Source organism: Homo sapiens, chromosome 2 (assembly GCF_000001405.40).
Source record: "Homo sapiens chromosome 2, GRCh38.p14 Primary Assembly".
In the NCBI taxonomy this organism is placed as follows: domain Eukaryota; kingdom Metazoa; phylum Chordata; class Mammalia; order Primates; family Hominidae; genus Homo; species Homo sapiens.
Window position 1 is genome coordinate 196,456,119 of NC_000002.12, and position 20,342 is coordinate 196,476,460.

General features: G+C 39.0%; 1 protein-coding gene and 1 long non-coding RNA gene across 15 annotated transcripts in view; one reads left to right on the forward strand and one right to left on the reverse strand.

The window, feature by feature from the left end:
* HECW2 (HECT, C2 and WW domain containing E3 ubiquitin protein ligase 2) overlaps window positions 1-20,342 on the reverse strand; it is a 399,483-nt gene that overhangs the window by 262,047 nt on the left and 117,094 nt on the right. For 2 of the 10 annotated variants that reach the window (XM_047445196.1, XM_047445194.1), the window contains exon 1: window positions 19,370-19,989. The exons of the other annotated variants lie outside the window; for them this stretch is intronic. The gene's annotated coding sequence lies outside the window, so the exon portion shown is untranslated. Of the gene's footprint in view, window positions 1-19,369; window positions 19,990-20,342 lie in introns of those variants that run through there. 10 annotated transcript variants of the gene reach the window in all.
* Window positions 1,143-19,595, forward strand: LOC105373821 (uncharacterized). Of its 5 annotated transcripts, none has more exons than XR_007087827.1 (5): window positions 1,143-1,229; window positions 7,708-7,808; window positions 18,612-18,664; window positions 19,062-19,173; window positions 19,468-19,595. It is a non-coding gene; the product is annotated as an uncharacterized LOC105373821 (long non-coding RNA). The 5 variants fall into 5 exon arrangements; XR_007087815.1 differs by having other exon boundaries at window positions 1,147-1,232; XR_007087817.1 differs by having other exon boundaries at window positions 1,147-1,232; window positions 19,471-19,595.

A 20,342-nucleotide genomic window follows, 5' to 3' on the forward strand; every position in this document is an offset into this window, starting at 1 on the left:
GCTAAGCCCCAAAATGAGGAATACTGAAGTCACAAAACATTTAAGCTCTTCTTTAAGTTAAACAACAGAAGAAAGGACACTATATCAAAACTCTACACTAAGTCAAATATTCTAGAAGATTTCCCAAGCCTTAACAAAATACATGATTGCTTGAGGGTTGTAAGTCCAAAGGCAAAATTGTAAAGCAGAATAAGAACATATTTACTGAACATTTATAAATGAGCCAGACTCTAAGCTATGAGCCTTATATACATTATCTCCTATCACTGATTTACCTTATCCCAGCAAGGAAAGTATTGCCACACTACTGGCTTCACATTGCCCTTGCTACACAATCTTCCATAAGCACTTTCTGTATATGGATTGTAAATGGCTCCTTGGGACTGACCATATGTCTTCTGGAGAAAGGTTGGGGAAGCTTCACTGCAAACATGGTCTGAGCTTAGGCTGGTCACAGATTGATTACTTGGAGACCACTGCAATCAGCAAATAAGAGTAACCATATACTAGCATCAGTGATAGGGGACAAGGTACAATGACACTGAAGTGGGTCCAGATGGTCTTCTTTTTTACTGCTCTTATGGGACACTTTCCTTGAATTAGAGTAAGGCTGGCTAAGAAACTCCGGATTTACTTTTTTACAGATTTTCCAGAATATCAAATAAGGGAAATTGATCAAGCAAAACATACCAATTCAACAAAACTAGCCCACAGAGCAGTTATAGTACCTTACAGTAAAAGATGCTACAAATTTAAGCAACCTCGGGTTTTCTTCATTCTTTAATACACCAACACATCTAACACATGTGTGAACTATTCATTTGGAAGAGCCAAAAGACTATCAAATAAGTTTATTGCTTCATATATATCTATTCCTGGTATTCATATTCCTGTACCAAGCTTCAAGCAAAGAAGGAGCATCCAAATTAAGCCTAAGAAATAGAAAGTATCTGGAAAGAATCAACAGTGCCTAATGAGTAGGTACGGCATGGAATCAAGATATGAAATTCTATATGTTGAGCTGCTGATACGTTTTGGAGAGATACTACACATATGTCTCTGCTCTGATGTCATAAAGCTTTGATCACATCAAGTTTCAATGGCTTACAACTGCTTCACTTTTACACAGAATTTTTGAACTAAAAGGGCCCTCAGAGAGAATCTCGCCTGATCCATTCATTTTGAATAATACAAACTGACTTTCTTCATTCTGGACGACTTTTTCCAAGGTTGTAAGTACCAGAGCTGGAATTAGGATGTAGATTTCTTAACTACCTGCCCACTACATGGTACTGTCACCTCTTAACTATACTCCAAGCATGTTGTTCAATATTTTAGCATATGAAAGATCTTTTGAAAAGCTGTTTAAAAAATTACTTTTTAAGAATGTGTGAGTTTCTCAAATACACAATACTTTCCTCAAACTGGGTCAGAAAATCCAGAAATAATATAAATTGATTATCTCAGCCTATTCACAGTACTGTGCTATTCCTTACTACTACTGTGACCTTATGTAAGTCAACCACACTGGTCCTTTATATTCCCGACCCTAAAAATGAAGGAGCGGGACTATATGATTTCCAAGATACCTCTTAGCTCTACAAATTTTGTAAGTCTGTGATTCATTTAAAAATAAGTATAACCAGGTCTTTCACTTCTATTCTTCTTTTTCTCAGAGCATACTCATACCCGCTACTACACAAAACCTGAAAAGCATTATATACACAAGCACGCTATACTTAGGAAGTATGTCCAAATATGCCAAAGTATTTATCAATAAAGCATTATGGTATTTGATCTAAACAAATAATCAAAAGGGATAATAGCCACAATTCTTAAAAGTCACCATACTCTACAATACTGGGAACTGGCTGGACACAGTGGCTCACATCTGTAATCCCAACACTTTGGGAGGCTGAGGTGGGAGAACTGCTTGAGCCCAGGAGTTCGAGACCAGCCTGGGTAACATAGTGAGACCCCATCTCTACAAAAAATTAAAAAATTAGCTGGGTGTGGCAGCACATGCCTATTGTCTCAGCTACTTAGGAGGCTGAGGCAGGAGGATCACTTGAGCCCAGGAGGTCAAGGCTGCAGTGAGCCATGATTGTGCCACTGCACTCCATCCCTAAGTGACAGAGCAAAACCCTGTCTCTAAGAATTATTAAAAAAGTAAAATATTGGGAACTATCTCTTTCCTGTGCACTCTACCAATTCTATTAAATTCTACACCTGAAATATCCAGGCTCTGAAAAGGAAAGGTCTCATAATGCTGGGAGTCTCTGGATCTTAACTGTTTCTCTCTCTCCCTCTCACTCACTCACACACACACACACACACACACATACACACACCCCAAGGGGATGAAAATATGTGACTTCGCATTACTAGTACTGAGGCAAATCATACAAGACTCTAAAAAGCTCCAGATGGAAAACTGTGAAACCAGATGATAAAGATGACAAGTGTAGGCTGGGCGTGGTGGCTCACACCTGTAATCCCAGCACTTTGGGAGCCCGAGGCGGGTGGATCACGAGGTCAAGAGATCGAGACCATCATGGCCAACATGGTGAAACCCCGTCTCTACTAAAAATACAAAAATTAGCTGGGCGTGGTGGTGTGCACCTGTAGTTCCAGCTACTCAGCAGGCTGAGGCAGGAGAATGACTTGAACCCAGGAGGAGGAGGTTGCAGTGAGCCGAGATTGCACTACTACACTCCAGCCTGGCAAGAGAGTAAGACTCTGTCTCAACAACAACAACAACAAAAAAGATAAGTGTAAACACACTGGCTAAAACTCATATGTTCACATGACTAATTAACTACTAGTTGTTTATTAAGGATTTATTATATGTCCAGTTCCATGTTAGGTACTGCAGGATTTACAGAATAAGGAATGATTTGGTCCATGTTCTCTAGTAGTTCTCTGAGTAGTCCAGCTGGGAGAGATAATGCTAAAAAAACAAACAAACAAATCAGCACAAGAAACACCACAAGACTATACGTATAATTAAATGTTAAATTCTGCACATAAGTGATGGAGAAATTTCCAGAAAAGGAGTACCACTTCGGATCAGATTAGACAGGGAAGGCATCTTTGAGGCAGTAACACTGAGCTGAGTCTTAAAGCTTGAGAAGACTTAGCTGAAGAGAGATGGGAGATGTAGACTATGAGAAATACAGAAGTGGGCTTAGAAACTCCAATGAGCCTTAGCATGAGGAGAAGAAAACAGTTAAAGGGGGGAAAAGTACAGGTTAGAGTATTTGAGTATAAAGGAGAGTACTGGAGAGTGGTTTAAAAATTAGGTTGTATAGATACAGTAAAAAATAAAGATGAAATCCTAAGCCCCCCCAACCTACTGAACAGACCCCCTGTTAGCCAAGGGGACCCCAGAAATCCTTGAAAACTCAGTTCCCAACCATGACCAGACAGGAGGTCAGACGTGCCTCATGATGTCCCCTCCCTCCATAACCAACATTAGGATTTCCTCCGTAAGGATTAAACAGAAACCAGCCCTTTGGAAAGCCCCACTCCACCCCTGATGTCAATCAACCTCCTGAAACCGCCCCTCCTTTTTGTGGTTTTCAACAAAATAACCAACCAGCATTCCTTCTTGATAAGAGACCACAGACCACAGAGTGGTTCTGGCCAGTCCACGGAGGATGTGCAGGGAGGGGTTTTGCATCCTCTGCTTCATCTTTTGAAGTCAGAGATCCGAAAATTCCACCCTGGATCATGCTAATGCCGCCATAGTTAAAAACCATGGGTCCCCTGGTGAAGGATGAGGCTCAGCTGTGCATGCGCATGTTTCTCCCTTCCTAAATACACATGACTCCTCCTATTGCTTACAGAACACGAATATTCCTCCACCTCCTTCAGTGTGAATCCCTGTCTTATTCTTCTCACCCTCCAATTGTTTGTTTCTGGTCTCCAATGGAAGGCTATGCTTCCCAGTCTGTCAGAATGGCTACCCTGCAGGCTGCAACCCTTTATGAAAAATAAAGCTCTCCTTTCCAAATTTATGAACCTCATCATTCTTCAGCTGACAATGAGGCTGGAATTAAAAAATCTAGAAAACCAAGGAGTCAGACTTGATGCATTAGAGCCACTAACAGTTTATGGGGATGGGCATAATTAAAAGACTCTAAGAAATATCAAGTAAGACTTTTGATTGAAGTTAACAGAAGAGAGGCATTTTTATTCGACTTTCCTCCTAAAGACAACCAAAATAAAAAGAACTCAAAAAAGAACAGACTCAATATTCACCCTAATTAGAAGGCCATCTCATCTACAAGCCATGAGGAATAATTTCCAATGAAGTAAAAATTGAACCAAATTGAATGAGGATACAAAAACAAAACCGATTAAACCTTTTTTTTTTTTTTTGCATGTATTCATTTAGCTTTTTCTTTTAAAGAGCAGAGAACATATAATTTCTGTCTAATTTTTTGCTTTTCTCCCAGGGCAGGGAAAAATCTCAATTGTTTTTTGTCTTGTTTTGTTTTTGTTTGTGAGACAGGGTCTTGGTCTGTCACCCAGGCTGGAGTACAGTGGTGCCATAACTGGCTCACTGCAGCCTTAACCTCCTGGGCTCAAATGATCCTCCCACCTCAGCCTCCCAAGTAACTGGGACTACAAGCATGCATCACCACACCTGGCAATTTTTTTTTTTTTTTTTTTTTTTTTTTTTGGAGAGATAGGCTCTCACTATGTTGCCCAGGCTGGTATCAAACTTCTGGCCTCAAGTGATCCTCCTACCTCGGACTCCCAAAGTACTAGGATTACAGGTGTGAGCCACCATCTCCAGCCTAATAAAGAGACTCCTAAATGGAGACACAGCACAGCACAGGATCAAATTAATTACGTGAGAAAATATTCTGAGATAAAATGCCTGAATTAATGATGATGTTGGCCCAACTCACTCTCTGTCTCCTCCCCATTCAATTCTTGAGTAAACAGTTGTAATAGATAAAATGGCCTTCAGTTGAAGATGGGTAATAACAAAAAGAAAGCATACATGGATAAGTGCACAGCCTGATAGGAAGGAAGAAAGGGAGGGAGGGAGAAAGAAAGGCAGGCAGGCAGGCAAGAAGCAACAGAGATTAAAAACATGTCAGAAGAATTACATTACAAACCAAAGTCTGGCATGAAGACAATGAACAAGGAACTACTGAAAAACCACAATAAGATACTATACTACTACACACCCATTACTAGGATGACCAAAATTTAAGACAGCCAATACTGAATGCTCACAAGGGTAGAGAACAACTGTAAATGTCATACATTGCTGATCAGAGTACAAAATGGCACAAACACTTTGGAAAACCATTTTCATACACACACCATGCCATTCGGCTTTTCCACTCCTAATTATTTACTCCAGAGAAATGAAAACATATCCACACAAAGACTTATTGTATTAGTCCATTTTTACACTGCTATCAAGAACTGCCCAAGACTGGGTAATTTATAAAGGAAAGAGGTTTAATTGACTCACAGTTCAGTATGGCGGGGGAGGCCTCAGGAAACTTACATTCATGGCAGAAGGTTAAAGGGAAGCAAGGCACCTTCTTCACAAGGTGGCAGGAGGGAAAATGAATGCAGGAGGAACCACCAGACACCCACAAAACCATCAGATCTCGTGAGAACCCACTCAACGTCATGAGAACAGCATGGGGGAACCATCCCCATGATTCAACCACCTCCACCTGGTCTCTCGCCTGACACACGGGGATTATGGGGACCACAGGAACCATGCGGATTACAATTCAGGATGAGATTTTGGGTGGGGACACAGCCAAACCATATCACTTATGTACAAATGTTCACTAGCAGCTTTATTTGTAATAACTCATAACTGGAAAAAACCCAAATGTCCATCAATATGTGAGCATCCTGTCAGACCTTTTCTGTACTCATATATATATGTGTGTGTGCGTATACATATATGTATACATATATGTACACATTTAGAAACAGGTTTTTTCCTCTTCATAACATAATTTGAATCATATTAAAGAAAGGCAAAAATTTTATAAAGGCAAAAAGTTATAATAATAAAACCTGGATTGTTATTTTTTATGTAATCATTCAATTTATATTTCAAAATGTATTGAAAAGCAGTCTATCATAATGTAAATTTTGATGGGGGAAAATGGGAAAGGGGAAAAATAGTAATTAAAAATGATATGTGCAATAAATTGACCTAAAGAAAGAATAAAATTAAGGAACTCTGAGTTTTTCATAGACTTTGAATTCTACTCAGCCCACCATATTTTTCTTCAATGCAAATTCTATTATATGATCAAGATGACAATGACATTTCTGGATCCATTAATAGTGCTTTCCAGACGGCCAATTTCTGGTGATGCTTTAATCAGATCTTAGGTGAACAGAATCTTAAAACCTAATATAATCATTCCTTCTCAGAAACATAACCAAAACAGGTATCTTTTTTATTAACAGGTCTTCCTTTAAGCCCACTTATTTACAAAGCAGACGGTTTTGAAATTTTTAGTAAATTATAAACTTGTAAATCTCTGAAGCAGCTCCCAAGCACCCACCCCTCCCCCCGAAAAAAGATGTTGAACAAAATGAAATGATCTTTCAAGGCACTTAACAATTCTGAGTAATCTTGGACACAAGTCAGGTCAAAACAACTGTACTTTTTCATCTCAACAACAAAGACTAGAAAATAAAACGCAAGGGAAAGCCTTAAGAGAGTGGCCTAAGGAGATGAAACAAATGTGTACAAATGCCTGATGAAAGAAACAAACTCTCACTTATTCATTATCCCCTGGTCCGGGGAGACTCCAATACAAGAGAGAAGTGCCCTCCACTCACACCAGCAGTGAAAGAAACTGCAAACTCCCCCATTCCCCAGTGGTAGTATGCCAGGGCTTCTGAGTCTTGGTAGAAATTTAACTTGTAAGTTCTGTAGTCACTAAGTGGCAATTAGTCATAGGGACATCCAATAACCCAGTGCTTTCTTCTCTAATGGTCACTAGTGATAGCATCAAAAACCCTGTTGGGTGTATAACAGAAGGGGTGTCTCAACCTCTTTCACATGAGATTAGGAGAGAAGCAGCAGTAATTATTGTAACAGGTGATTGCATTATCAATTGTAACTGTTAGCATGGGTTACTACTGAGTGAGAGATGAGTTCTCTAAAAATACCACAGAGCTGCCTCAGTGCCTAGAATGTTTGGGAATGGACTGAAACAGATCCAATGTAGATTCGTCACGCAAGTCAGGCTGCACACCACCCACCACCACCCTCTACCCTGCAAAAAAAAAAAAAAAGAAAGAAAGAAAAAGGAAAAAGAAAAAGAAAAGAAAAATTCCAACTGCAAAGGGGAAATTTTAATAGAAATGAAATTTCAAAACTACAAGGCTGGGCTTTTTGAGAATACTAATGCAGAGTGGCATTCGTTTGCATTATGACTATAACAGTAGTAATTGCAGAGAAAGTGCTAATTTTTTCATCATTGTTTTAAACTTGCTTATATAATATTGTATTTTATATTACAAAGTGAAACTATTTCCAAGGTGATTAACTGAACTACCTGATCTCTTTGTTCTTTGAATTCTATTAGATAACACTGTTTTTTGTTATAATCTGCCTCACTCTGAAACCTTCTACCCTTTATACTGCTACAACCAGGTGGCAGCCTGTACAGTGATCTTCCTTTCCCTGAAAATCCACAGGGGCAACGAGCCCAACTAGCAACATTCAATATCTGGGCTTCACCTTGACCCAGAAAATGCAAATCAAACTATGCTGAAAGCTTCATACAAAGGAACTGAAAGTAAGTACTATTTTGATCTACTTTCCCATTCTCCTTCCTCCACCTATGAAAACTCAGGTCCTTTTATTTTACTTTCAAATCCATCTTTCCATCTTCCAGCTTTTCCTTTTTTTTTTTTTCTGGAAATGGTTTAACCAATACTTCTGAATAGGAATACATTAAAATTGCTACCCACTTTTGCGGCCATTATCATCTCAACTGCTTCCAATTTCATTTTGGATCTCTCAACATAAAACATTAGGAAAATGGCACCTAAGAAAGCATATGCTGCCACTTTATCACCAGCTGTTATTGCCTCATCTTAACTCTCATTTTAGGGCCTTTAAACATACCCCAGAATTCCCATCTGAAAAACTACATAGGTTACATAGGAGGGGAAAAAATTTCAGGTAGAACTAGGGTTCAATAGTAACGCTGGGAGTTAGAATGATAACTTAAGTATCATCAATATTTTTGTTTTGTTCTGTTTTACTAATCATGAAGATGCCACCAAAACTAAAGCAGATCCTGTTTCCTTTCAAGATATCAAATTACAGGTTTTTGGTGACTAAGCTGAGACATTCAATCCTCTTTCTACTATATACCAAATAAGCAAGAAAGGGGAAAAGCCAAAGGAAAACCTAAAGTATAACTCCCAGGATTTTACAAACAAGAGGCAAAAATTCAGTCTATAATTATCCCATTGGCCATGCTCAAACCCGTAAGAATTCAGAGGAGGCAAAAGGTTAGTGTAATGATAGTATTTTTAAGCTCATGTTAGGAAAAAGGATGATAAACCTCCAAATAGGATAAGACTGTGCTTGTAAAAATCTTCGCTTAAAGAAGGGGACAGTGGCCAGGCACGGTGGCTCACGCCTGTAATCCCAGCACTTTGGGAGGCCGAGGTGGGCGGATCACGAGGTCAGGAGTTCGAGACCAGCCTGGCCTAACACAGTGAAACCCTGTCTCTACTAAAAATACAAAAAATTAGTCAGGAATGGTGGCGCACACCTATAATCCCAGCTACTCAGGAGGCTGAGGTAGGAGAATCGCTTGAACCCAGGAGGTGGAGGTGAGCCGAAATCGCGCCACTGCACTCCAGCCCGGGTGACAGTACAAGACTCTGTTTCAAAAAAAGAAGGGGATAGCAATACCCTTACTTGCCTGTAATCCTAATATGCTCTCCTGGAGAGGTAGGGTTCTACATGCACCTCAATGGAGAATGAACAACTCAAAGCATAGCTTTAAGAGTAAAGTATTTTATTTCTAACAAATTAAAGTATTTGGCAGTAATTTTTTTAAGCAGATGGATTGGAATATTTTGGGAAATGCTAAGGGGCTGATTTGCTATTGCTTTTTAGAACTTCAAGTTATAAAATAAGATTTTGGCTAATCTAGTCTCCTTCCAGATTCAGAGGTGTTTATTAAAGGCAACAGAATTGCTTTAACTTTCTTATCTAGATTAATCTGTGAAGCAGTAGTTAGCTTTAATTAGGAATCCAAATTCAAATAATTAAAATAATGCTGGATTCAGTGTTCTTAGTCCTCCGAAGTAGGAATCATGGATTTAAAAATAACCATGTGCCTAGGACAATTTGGGCCCAGCTTACATCATGATTTTTAGGGTGCTCTTGAGGTAAAGTCACCATTTTTTCTACTGCTTGTAAGCCTAATCTTACTTTAGGGAACCTGCCTTAACTTTTGCTTTTCCATGATAAAGATTAGTAAACTTTCTCTACAAATTCCTGTGCTTATATTAAGTTTAAATAAACTCATGTTTCCTAACTGTGCCATGCAAATACGTGGCCGTTCTGGACACGTATTTGCATGGCACAGTTAGGAAACTGATCTGGACCACTGATCCAAAAGGACAGAAAATGAAAATGAAGCCCCACCATTTCTTGTTTTCTATTCCTTTAGCCTCATGCAATTCCACTGGATGTACAATGCAATCATTCCCCTTTCTTTAGCCCTTTTCTTCTATCAGTCATCTGGCCAATATTTATTGAACATTTGCTATTCACAGTCCTTCAAAGAAATTGCTTTCACAGGCTGTCCAAATATGTAGCTACAAAGTTATGTTCACATCCAATCCCATAACCTTTTAATTGTTTCTCTAACAGACTGGCTGTTAAGAATATTTTTTAGAAACGACCATATTTACCTAATGGCTAAGAATTTTCTTTGTCACACCTATATACCAGCAGAATCCAGTGATCAAGTATAAATGACTCTCCCTACTCCATCCATGAGGTTGACAGTGAGGAAAACAGTGTTACCCAAATCTATTAATATTTGGCTCCAGAGATTTGAATAAAGAGTTGGAAAGTGGAGGATCCCTTTCAGCAGTGTGCTAGAGCTGGCTTCCCCATCCTGAGACCTCAGGTTGTTGGCTTGAATTAAGCCACAATGAAAATATTTACACTTCAATGACTTTCCTCCAAATATTTCCCTCTCCAAAATGTTATCCAAATCCATTCTGTCCCTGGGTTTAGATAATCCAGGGATAAAAGTTTAGCTAGCAAGGGTTACCTTTTACATTAAGAAATTACTACTTGTAAGTATGAACTTATAAAAACATCAAATTATAGCTTTCCCAGCCCTCAGGGCACTTCCAAAATATTCACAGGGAAGAGACATAGGAAATGCATAGAGAAGCAGGTGCAAAAATAATACTGAAGCTGGTGAGAGGGTTGGCCAGCAGGAATTCAGATTGTTTGAAATTCTCCAGAAGAGTTTAGAGAGGAAAGGGAAGTGAGATTTGAAGCAGATCTTAATTGATGATTATGATTTTAGACAGCTGGAAAAAGTAGAAAGTGTCATCTCCAGGGGAATTACTGAATAGGCAGAAAAATGGGTAAAAGCATAAGGTGAGCTAGAAATGGGCTTTGGGCCAGTCTGGCAATACCTTGAAAAATCAGCCAGGCAGAAGGAGCTACTGAAGTTCTATGATGAGAGTGATAAAGAAGTGTTTTAAGAATATTCTTTCAAATTTTGTTGACTCCTCGATTTTCTGATCTTTAACTTCTTTTCTGATCTCTGATAACTCCAACCGTCTTAGTTTTCAGACTTGCTAGACTAGAATGCATACTAGTACCAAGCCTGCTGCCATGTCACTTGGTAACCCTGAACCTCCTGCTAGGGATTACCACAAGTACCAGTTGATGTCAGCTTTAACTCCTAAAGCTGTTGTTAGGGGTTCCCAAAGAAATGGTTTAGGATAAATTTCAGCCTAGCTTGTCTTCAGTAAATTGTAAATTATTATAATTTAAATGAAGACAATTCTCAAAACTCTGCATATGCATTCTTAAAGCTATTCCCTTGGAACCCCAAATATCTCTTCCAATACAAAATTACTTCCTCCTTATCTTTGCACCTTATAAATATTTCTACCACTACTGCTATTCTTAGTATTATTAGCCTCTACAGAATCTGGAATCAAACTGCTTGGTATAGGATGAGGGGGAGGGAGAGGAAGGAGGGAGGGAAGGGGAGGAGGAGCTGCTATTTATTGAGAGCTTTCTGGGCTTTCTTGCAGATTCCATTTAATCCTCCTTGTAATCCTGTGAAAAAGGAAGACACGGAGGCTCAAGTCAATACTTCTATGATGCGCTTACAGTCATTCATTCTAATGTTGGTTTCAGCGTCTGACTCTTCTTAGGGAACCCTACATGCAGGAAATGGCTGCTATGTATTTGTAAACAGAAACAATATTGGAAGTGGCAATTAACTTTCCAGGTTAAACTTGAAAAGTCAGATTAAAAGAATAATACTGGATATTGAGCATACAAATTATCACAACATAAAAGCAGGAAAAGGGAAGATTTTCTCATTTCTGAGCAAAACCCCCATGCTACCTTTATCTCACCCTCTAATTCCTCTTCTTACTAAATAAATGTCATGTTTCCCTGACAGCCCCCTCCAATCCAGGCCTAGCCTATTCCCTAAGTGTCCATGTTACAAAATTACTTTCTCTTCTCTTGCTAAACGTGTCCTTATAGAATATAGCAACAGAGTCTAATAATCATCAGCATCAACAGTGTCTAATAATCATACTGGCAATACAAATAGCCAGTAGCCGGTAACAACCCTTCATTCTCCCAGTTGTTTCTTTTTTTCTTTTTTTGAGATGGAGTCTCACTCCGTTGCCCAGGCTAGAGTGCACTGCAACCTCCACCTCCCAGGTCCAAGCAATTCTCCTGCCTCAGCCTCCCGAGTAGCTGGTATTACAGGCACATGCCACCAAGCCCAGCTAATTTCTGTATTTTTAGTAGAGATAGGGTTTTGCCATGTTGGCAAGGCTGGTCTCGAACTCCTGACCTCAAGTGATCCGCCCGCCTTGGCCTCCCAAAGTGTTATGATTACAGGCATCAGCTACCGTGCCCAGCTGGTTGTTCTTTAAAGACGAATGTTTCAATTAATTACATTAACTCAAATTAATCTCTCACTGGTAAAGCCTCAAATTGCATGGAGTATGTACAATATTGTCAACACCCACCCACCCCTACGCTTCAGTTACTTTTTAAAGATTAGAGGAGGAGTGGACACTTCTGAGGCAGGTCAACCTTGCCTAGGATTCTGATTTTTAAAGCAAAACTTCTCAAGCGTGACTTGTTAAAATGCAGCCTCTGAGTCAGTAGGATTGGAGTGGAGCCTGAGAATCTGCATTTCTAACAAACTTCTAAGTGATGGTGACACTGCCACCTGCAGACCACACTTTAAGTGGCAATTCTCTAAACTATTCCATTTTTTTTCCCTGCTTGTTAATATTTCCACTTCCAAAGCTACAGATTTTCCACATGAATGAAGGTCTGAGGTGTGTTTTCAAAATAACTCAGGTCAGCAAGATCTGTAAGAAGGGACTTGGACTGTGGGAGCGGGGAAGCAAAGGGAAGGATGATATACATATATGGGTTACCTAAGCCAAGCCTACAGGTGTTCAAGCAAGAATTACAGAAAGCCAGTGTTGTTGAGATTTTTCCTACATTTATCTGCCTCGTCCTCCTAGACAGCATTTAAGTTGCAAAATGTTTTTTAGCAGGCTAATGACAGGTTACATCCACTACACTATATCGTGATGGAAGAAGCAACAATTCTTTTTCAAGGAGAGGAGGTGATATGGTACTTCCCATCAGAGCCAGATGTGAAGAAGGAAGACAAAGAATGGTTTTATTTTCTATCGCAGGTCACTGAACCTGTGTGTGTGTGTGTGTGCGTGTGTGTGTGTGTGTGTGTGTGTGTGTGTAAATAAGTGAAACTAGCCAAGAAAATTGTAAAAAGGAAGAATAATATAAGAGGAGCTGCCCCGCCTTAAATAAAAGAACATGTTACGGGTGCCAAAATGTAGAGACAACTAAACAGAACAAACTAGAGGGACCAGAAACAGAACCAAGTTTCTGTAAGAAGTTAGACTTTAATAAGAGTGTTATATATTTTAAAAATGGGGACAACTGTCTCACCACTTTGGCAGAGGGGCTACCTCTGCGGCAAAAGGAGGGAAATGCAACTGGGGAGGAACACCCACGAAGTTTAGGAGGATAGATTATAGTTTATTCCTGAATCACCTGGTGGGTTCACAGGTGCTAAATATCTCATTCTTTATATATCTAGAATATTCATAATATATTTAAAAAATAAAAAATGTAATAAAAAGTATAGGGGTACTGAAACAAAATTAAGTATGTTTTATGATCTTGAGATAGAGGTTATTTACATATGTCATTAAATAGTCATAACAAAAATTTTAAATGTAGGTGGTAAGAAAGTTCATAAACAGAGGTAAAAGACAAATGAAAAGTTGAGGAAATATTATAACATGATGAAAGGTTAACATCCTGAATATATAAATAATCCATATGAGAGAACAAGTAGTTAACCAAGAAGTATATATAGTATGAAGAAAAAAAAATAAGGCTGTTACCTCTGGGGCGGGGGACTAATTGGAGGTCATAAAAGTAAAAAATATATGGATGACTTTTTATAAGGGAAATTGACTTTTTTTTACAATGAATCCAAAAAAAATTCAAGTTCACCTTACAAGAATTTCTAGAATAAAACTTAATTATCAGAAAAATTCTAGTTAAAACTTTCTTTAAAAAAATTTCCCATTCTATCTATAAAAATAATATACATATTCACTATAAAAGAATGATCAGAAAAGACAAGGATCACAGAAAAAAATTCGCATAAGCAAAATAAAAATTTATATTCTGTTTTATAACACAGCCAAGTAACAGAGATACCAGGCAAATAAACAACAACAATAATGACAACAAAACCTTACTATACTTCTAGTATGCTACTTATTCATCTGGACAAGCATCAATTGCAGTGAGCCAGTTTCTGACCACTATACTCCAACCTGGGTGATGGAGCAAGACCTTGTCTCCAAAAAAAAAAAGGATACAATTTTGAGTTTCCCAATAAAATATATTAAGTAAATAAATGGGTCATAGTAAGGCTGATTTGTTAACACTGCTAAATTTAGGGATATTTTGCAAATGAGTAAGGATTAGTCCTAAATAATATTGCTTTATGCATATTAGTACTTTGTGGATGCTAAACTTTATTTTTTCTGTTTATCTTCGTCTCTTGCTTTCATATTGAAGTTGTGTTTTGGAGTTTTGTTTTGTTTTCAGAAAATGTCCAATGATTCTTGGTTGCCCATTCAATTTTTTAAATGAGGCATAAAAAACTAAGCAAGATTGAAGAAAATAATTTTACATTAGATGAGTAAGATAGGGAAGCACTTATTCTGCCATAACTAATACTTATTATCCAGTCAAAGCAATTTAGATTATTAGTACATGACCAAAAAATAGAGTGTGGAGAAATAGACCCATTGATATATGGAAGCTTTATATATGAAAGTTCTGTTCATTAAAAGACAACATTTTTTAAAAGTGAAGACAGGTCGCAGGCATCTATAATAGATAACTGGTTAGTATCCTGAATATATATAGAATGTATAAAACTCAGAAAGAAAAAAAGAAAACAGCAAAATATATGAATAAGCAAGTTACAGAAAATAAAATCAAAAAAGCCAATAAACAGTTTACAAAAAAATAAAGCCACAATGCGATATTATTTCACATCCACCAAATTGGCAAAAAAAAAAAAAAGTCTGACAATACCAAGTGTAAACAAGGACAAGGAGCAAGGGAGATTCATATGGACAATGGTGGGAGTATCTCATGAATGCAATAAAGTACACATCTTACAATTTAGCAATTCTACTCCTAAGTATATTCTAAGAAAACATCAACAAATTTTTATTTTTAAAATCCCTAGCAGGATTATTTGGAATAGAAAAAACAACATCACTAATCAATAGATAAATGCAAATCAAAACTACAGTGAGATACCATCTCATACCAGTCAGAATGGCTATTATTAAGAAATCAAAATTAACCGATGCTGGCAAGGTTGCAGAGAAAATGGAACACTTATACACTGCTGGTGGGAGTGTAAGTTAATTCATCCTTTGTGGAAAGCAGTGTGGTGATTCCTCAAAGAACTTAAAACAGAATTATCATTTGACCCAGCAATCCTATTATTGGATATATACATAAAGGAATATAAATTGTTCTGTCATAAAGACACATGCACATATATGTTCACTGCAGCACTACCCACAAAAGCAAAGACATAGAATTAACCTAAATGCCCATCAACAGTAGACTGGATGAAGAAAATGTTATACATATACACCATGGAATACTAGGCAGCCATATAAAAGAATGAGATTATGTTCTTTGCAGCAACATTGATGGACCTGGAGGCCATTATCCTAAGTGAATTGATGCAGGAACAGAAAACCAAATACTACATGTTCTCACTTACAAGTAGGGGCTAAACAATGAGAACACATGGACACTAAGAGGGGAACAAGGGACACTGGGACCTACTTGACAGTGGAAGAAAGGAGGAGGGAGAGGATCAGAAAAAACAACTACCGGGTACTAAGTATAATATCTGGGTGATGAAATAATCTGTACACCAAACCCCCATGGCACACAGCTTACCTATAAAACAAACCTGCATGTGTAGCCCTGAACCTAAAACAAAAGTTTAAAAAAAAAAAAAAAAGAAAAGCAAGAGAGAACCTAAAAGTCACTTATAGACGAATGGATATACTGTGGCATTCTCAAACTTTAGAGAATGCAGCTGTGGGAATGAATGAACTAGATTTACCCATAATCAACCACATTTAGAGGGCGAAAAAAAAATAGTTGTAGTCAAATGTATGCTATATATTGTATGTAGGTACTGCATAAAGTTTAAAACGTTCAAAACAGGCTGGGTGTGGTGGCTCATGCCTGTAATCCCAGCACTTTGGGAGGCCAAGACAGGAGGATCACTTGAGGTCAGGAGTTCAATACCAGCCTGGCCAACATGGAGAAACCCTGTCTCTACTAAAAATACAAAAATTTGGGGGTGGTCAGGGGCGGGGGGCGCCTGTAATCCCAGCTACTCGAGAGGCTGAGGTGGGAGAACCACTTGAACCTGAGAGGTGGAGGCTGCAGTGGGCTGAGATTGCACCACTGCACTCCAGCCTGGGTGACAGAGACTCCGTCAAAAAAAAAAAAAAAAAAAAAAAGTGAAATAGTAACTCACTGTTTAGGACCCAAACATAGGTCTATAGTTACATGGAAATTTAAAAAGGCAGATCAGAATAGTGGATCTCTGTAGGAGGAAGATGACTTTTTTTTCTTTTTCTTTTTCTTTTTTTTTGAGATGGAGTTTCACTCTGGTTGCCCAGGCTGGAGTGCAATGGCGCGATTTCAGCTCACTGCAACTTCCACCTCCCGGGCTCAATCGATTCTCCTGCCTCACCCTCCCAAGTAGCTGAGATTACAGGCATGCATCACCACATCCAGCTAATTTTGTATTTTTAGTAGAGACGGGGTTTCGCCATGTTGGCCAGGCTGGTTCCGAACCCCTGATCTCAAGTGATCCACCCGCCTTGGCCTCCCAAAGTGCTGGGATTCCGGGCCGGAGCCACCGCACTCAGCTGGAAGGTAACTTTTTTAAGGTGGTGGATTAAAACATGCACATTTGTCATATTACATTTTATACTTTTGTATGTCTTAAATATTTCATAATGAAATTGTAGAATCTTGTCCTGGTTAATTGGTTACCACACTCCCATAATAGATAACTGAAACAGATAACTGATAGCAATTGATCGTGACCAGAAGTTGTACTCAAGACACATTTATTCTGAAGTTTACTAAAAACCACATTTTTCAAAAATCAAACTAGGATAAGTGTGATAGCTCCAAAAGAACCATTTGCATGTACTGAATAATGTTTTGTTTTCTAAATCAGTAGCTTCCAAAGTGGAGTGCATTGGGCCACAAGAAGAAAATATTGGAACTATGTGTTTTTCCATAAAATCCTTTCAATTTCTAGGTTTCATCTGTTATAGAAAATACATAACAGACACAAATCTAAATTAATTTATATAATATATTCCTGCACAGTGGTATGTCATGTCATTTATAAATCATTTTTTACTGATCAAAGTGCAAGGTCTAAAAAGTTTAAAAACCACTGTTAGGGATGACCATTAATGGACTTTCTAAACCACCTGTCCAAGTAACCTACATCCAGACCCTGAAAGTTAAAAATAGAGATTATACAGGAGGACTGGATTTTTTTTAGAGATAATTTATTAGTCAAAAAATATCTTGAACTAGATGACTAAAACTACAGTCTGAAAATAGCCTATGTCTGCCAACTTTCTACAGACCAAATTTCATATCAGGCTTCAAGACAAAGGTTGACATAACTGCCAACCAGTGCAGTAACAGGTCTGGCCTTATTCGTGTTGGATGCTTTGCTTGAAAAAGATAATAAATCACTTGAAAAGCCCACGTGGGAACAGGACACAATCTAGGAAACTGAATGCCACTCTGTAACACAAGTGCTAAATTAACATTCTCCAACTGCTTCCAGCTATTGATATTCATTTTGGAACAGGCAGGACATATTTAGAAAATGGCACATCACCAGAAAATGTGAGTGAGAGTGTGGGCTTTTGCCTGATACAATGCAGCGAGAATTTTTCTAGAACCAACTTCAGGAGGCAGAAAAGAAAACTCTGTTTCACAAACCTTTTAGATTAGAGTGTAATCTTCCAATAAAATAAGTTATACGAAATCAAGTAGTATCATCTTACTATAAATAACTATTCAAAGAAGCAGTATTTTAAAATAAACTCCTCCTCTTGGCCTTCAAGCTAGTGATCTTGGTTACTGCCAATAGCATTCATAATAAACAGGATATAGTTTTGTCAAATGTTTAGCAAAGTATTATAAATATGCTTTTGGTGAAAATAAGTATTCAATATCTTTTGGGGACAATGAGAGGACTATTCACATGTACCACTTATCAATTTAACAATGAGCAGATAATGTAAGAAAGTGCACATCAGCCAGCTACCATAATGGCTTGCATTTTGGCAGAAGTAGAAATGGAGGTGGGTGGATACCACAAATATCATTAGTCATAAATTGAGAGACATTAATATATTTATTAGGATAGTGTGCATTTTACCTTAATAATAATGATGTTCTCCCACCAGGCAGGCAAAAGAAAGCCTTCTCAAAGAATTCTTCACAAACATTCATTTGGACACCAGCTCAGAAAATCTCACTAAAGGTCACAGGCCTTTAGTAGACACAGACATCTATTTTGTACCTTGCTGTAAGGAAGCTACATAGCTCTATATGTGCAAAGCTTATATAGAAAGCTATCTGTCATTTCATATCTGACAATGGAAGCAATTCTCATTCTATCTCCATTGCCATCTTTTTTTAGGATTGATTCCTACAAGGTACAGCATGGAATGTTATAATTTCATACCAGGGTAGGTAAGTTTTTGATAAAAGCACTTGCTGAGATTTCTAATTTCTTCCCTCAAGGGCATGAAACTAAGCAAATTAATCACTCTAACATCTAGACTCTTAAGGCAGAGGCCCATTTATTAGAATATGTTCAATAGCAGAAGACATGCTATGTATCATCACACGCCCGCACCTGATCCTCAACTCTCTGGGCCCAGCGAGCAGCATCGTTACAGACGCTTAACACAGTTTAACGAATTTCTCTGATACACCAACAGTGGCTTGGTCCATGGTTCCACGGCTCTGCCTCCCAGGGACCATCAACAACCAAAGGCCCTTTCTCAGTGGTTTTCTTTGAGATGTTCAGAAGACACCCACACACACCTAACACTGCCCCCACCCACCTGGTTCTGTACCCTTATAGAGTTGAACAGTTCTCCCTTCCAGCCAAGGGCAGAAATGAGGAACCTGCCAGATCGGAGAGTTCCCAAATCTAATCACCATTTATGCTAGAATTCCTTCAGCTGCAAATAATGGTAGGGAAGGAGAAGGGAGTGGGGAGAATAAAGGAGATGGGGGGAGAGGGAGGGAGGGGATGCGCAAAGGGAAGAGGGGAGATAGGAAGATGAGGAGGGAGAAAGAGAGTGAAGGGAGGGGAGGGGAGAGAGACGAGGGGAGGGAAAAAAGGAGGGCGGCTCACATAACTGAAAAATTGAGGAGTGGGTCTCCTACCTTCAGACATAGCCAGATCCAGGGGATATTATCAGAACTTCACCTCTTTTTCCCGATTTCTAACCTCTGCTTTTCTCTGCATGATCCCCACTTACTAGCAGGGTCTCATCTTAGCAGTGACAAGATATCTGCCAGCAGCACCAGGCCTACATCTTCCCAGCTTTAAATTCAGTGAAAAGACAGGATCTCTTTCTAAAGCACTGCAATAAAATTTCCAGAATGAAAACTCATCAGCTTAATTGGCCTCTGTTGGTTATCTGCCCATTTGTGAACCAATCACTGTGGTCTGAGAGGTGCAAGGACTCCTCTGATTGGCCTGGCCTGGGCCATTTGCCCACTTCCGGCATCAGAAGGAAGGACAGTTTCAAAAGGCAAACTGGGTGTTGCTACAGGAGAGCATTCAGGCAAACCACAGCCAATCTCAGGACTCTCCTTGTTCTGCCTTGTCTTCAAATCCTCTTGCACATTTTTCCAGCCTCGGACCCGCTGTGCCTCACCATGTTCATCTAGCATAGGACCCTCAATACATTTCTCTGACACAGGGAAAACCCATTTGGTGTAGTGAATGACCCTAGAGTCAAACAGCCTGGGTTCTAATTCTGGCTCTATCATTTTAGCAAGCTGTATAATCTCTCCGTGCCTCAGTTTCCTCATCAAAAAAAAAAAGGCAGGTGGGCTGGGAGCAGTGGCTCATGCCTGTAATCCCAGCATTTTGGGAGGCCTAGGTGGGCAGATCACCTGAGGTCAGGAGTTTGAGACCAGCCTGGCCAACATGGCAAAACCCCATCTCTACTGAAAATACAAAACTTAGCCGGGTGTGGTGGCGCATGCCTGTGGTCCCAGCTATTAGGTCGCTGAGGCACTAGAATCACTTGAACCCAGGAGGCAAAGGTTGCAATAAACCGGGATTGTGCCACTGCACTCCAGCCTGGATGACAAAGCGAGACTCCATCTCAAAAAAAAAAAAAAAAGG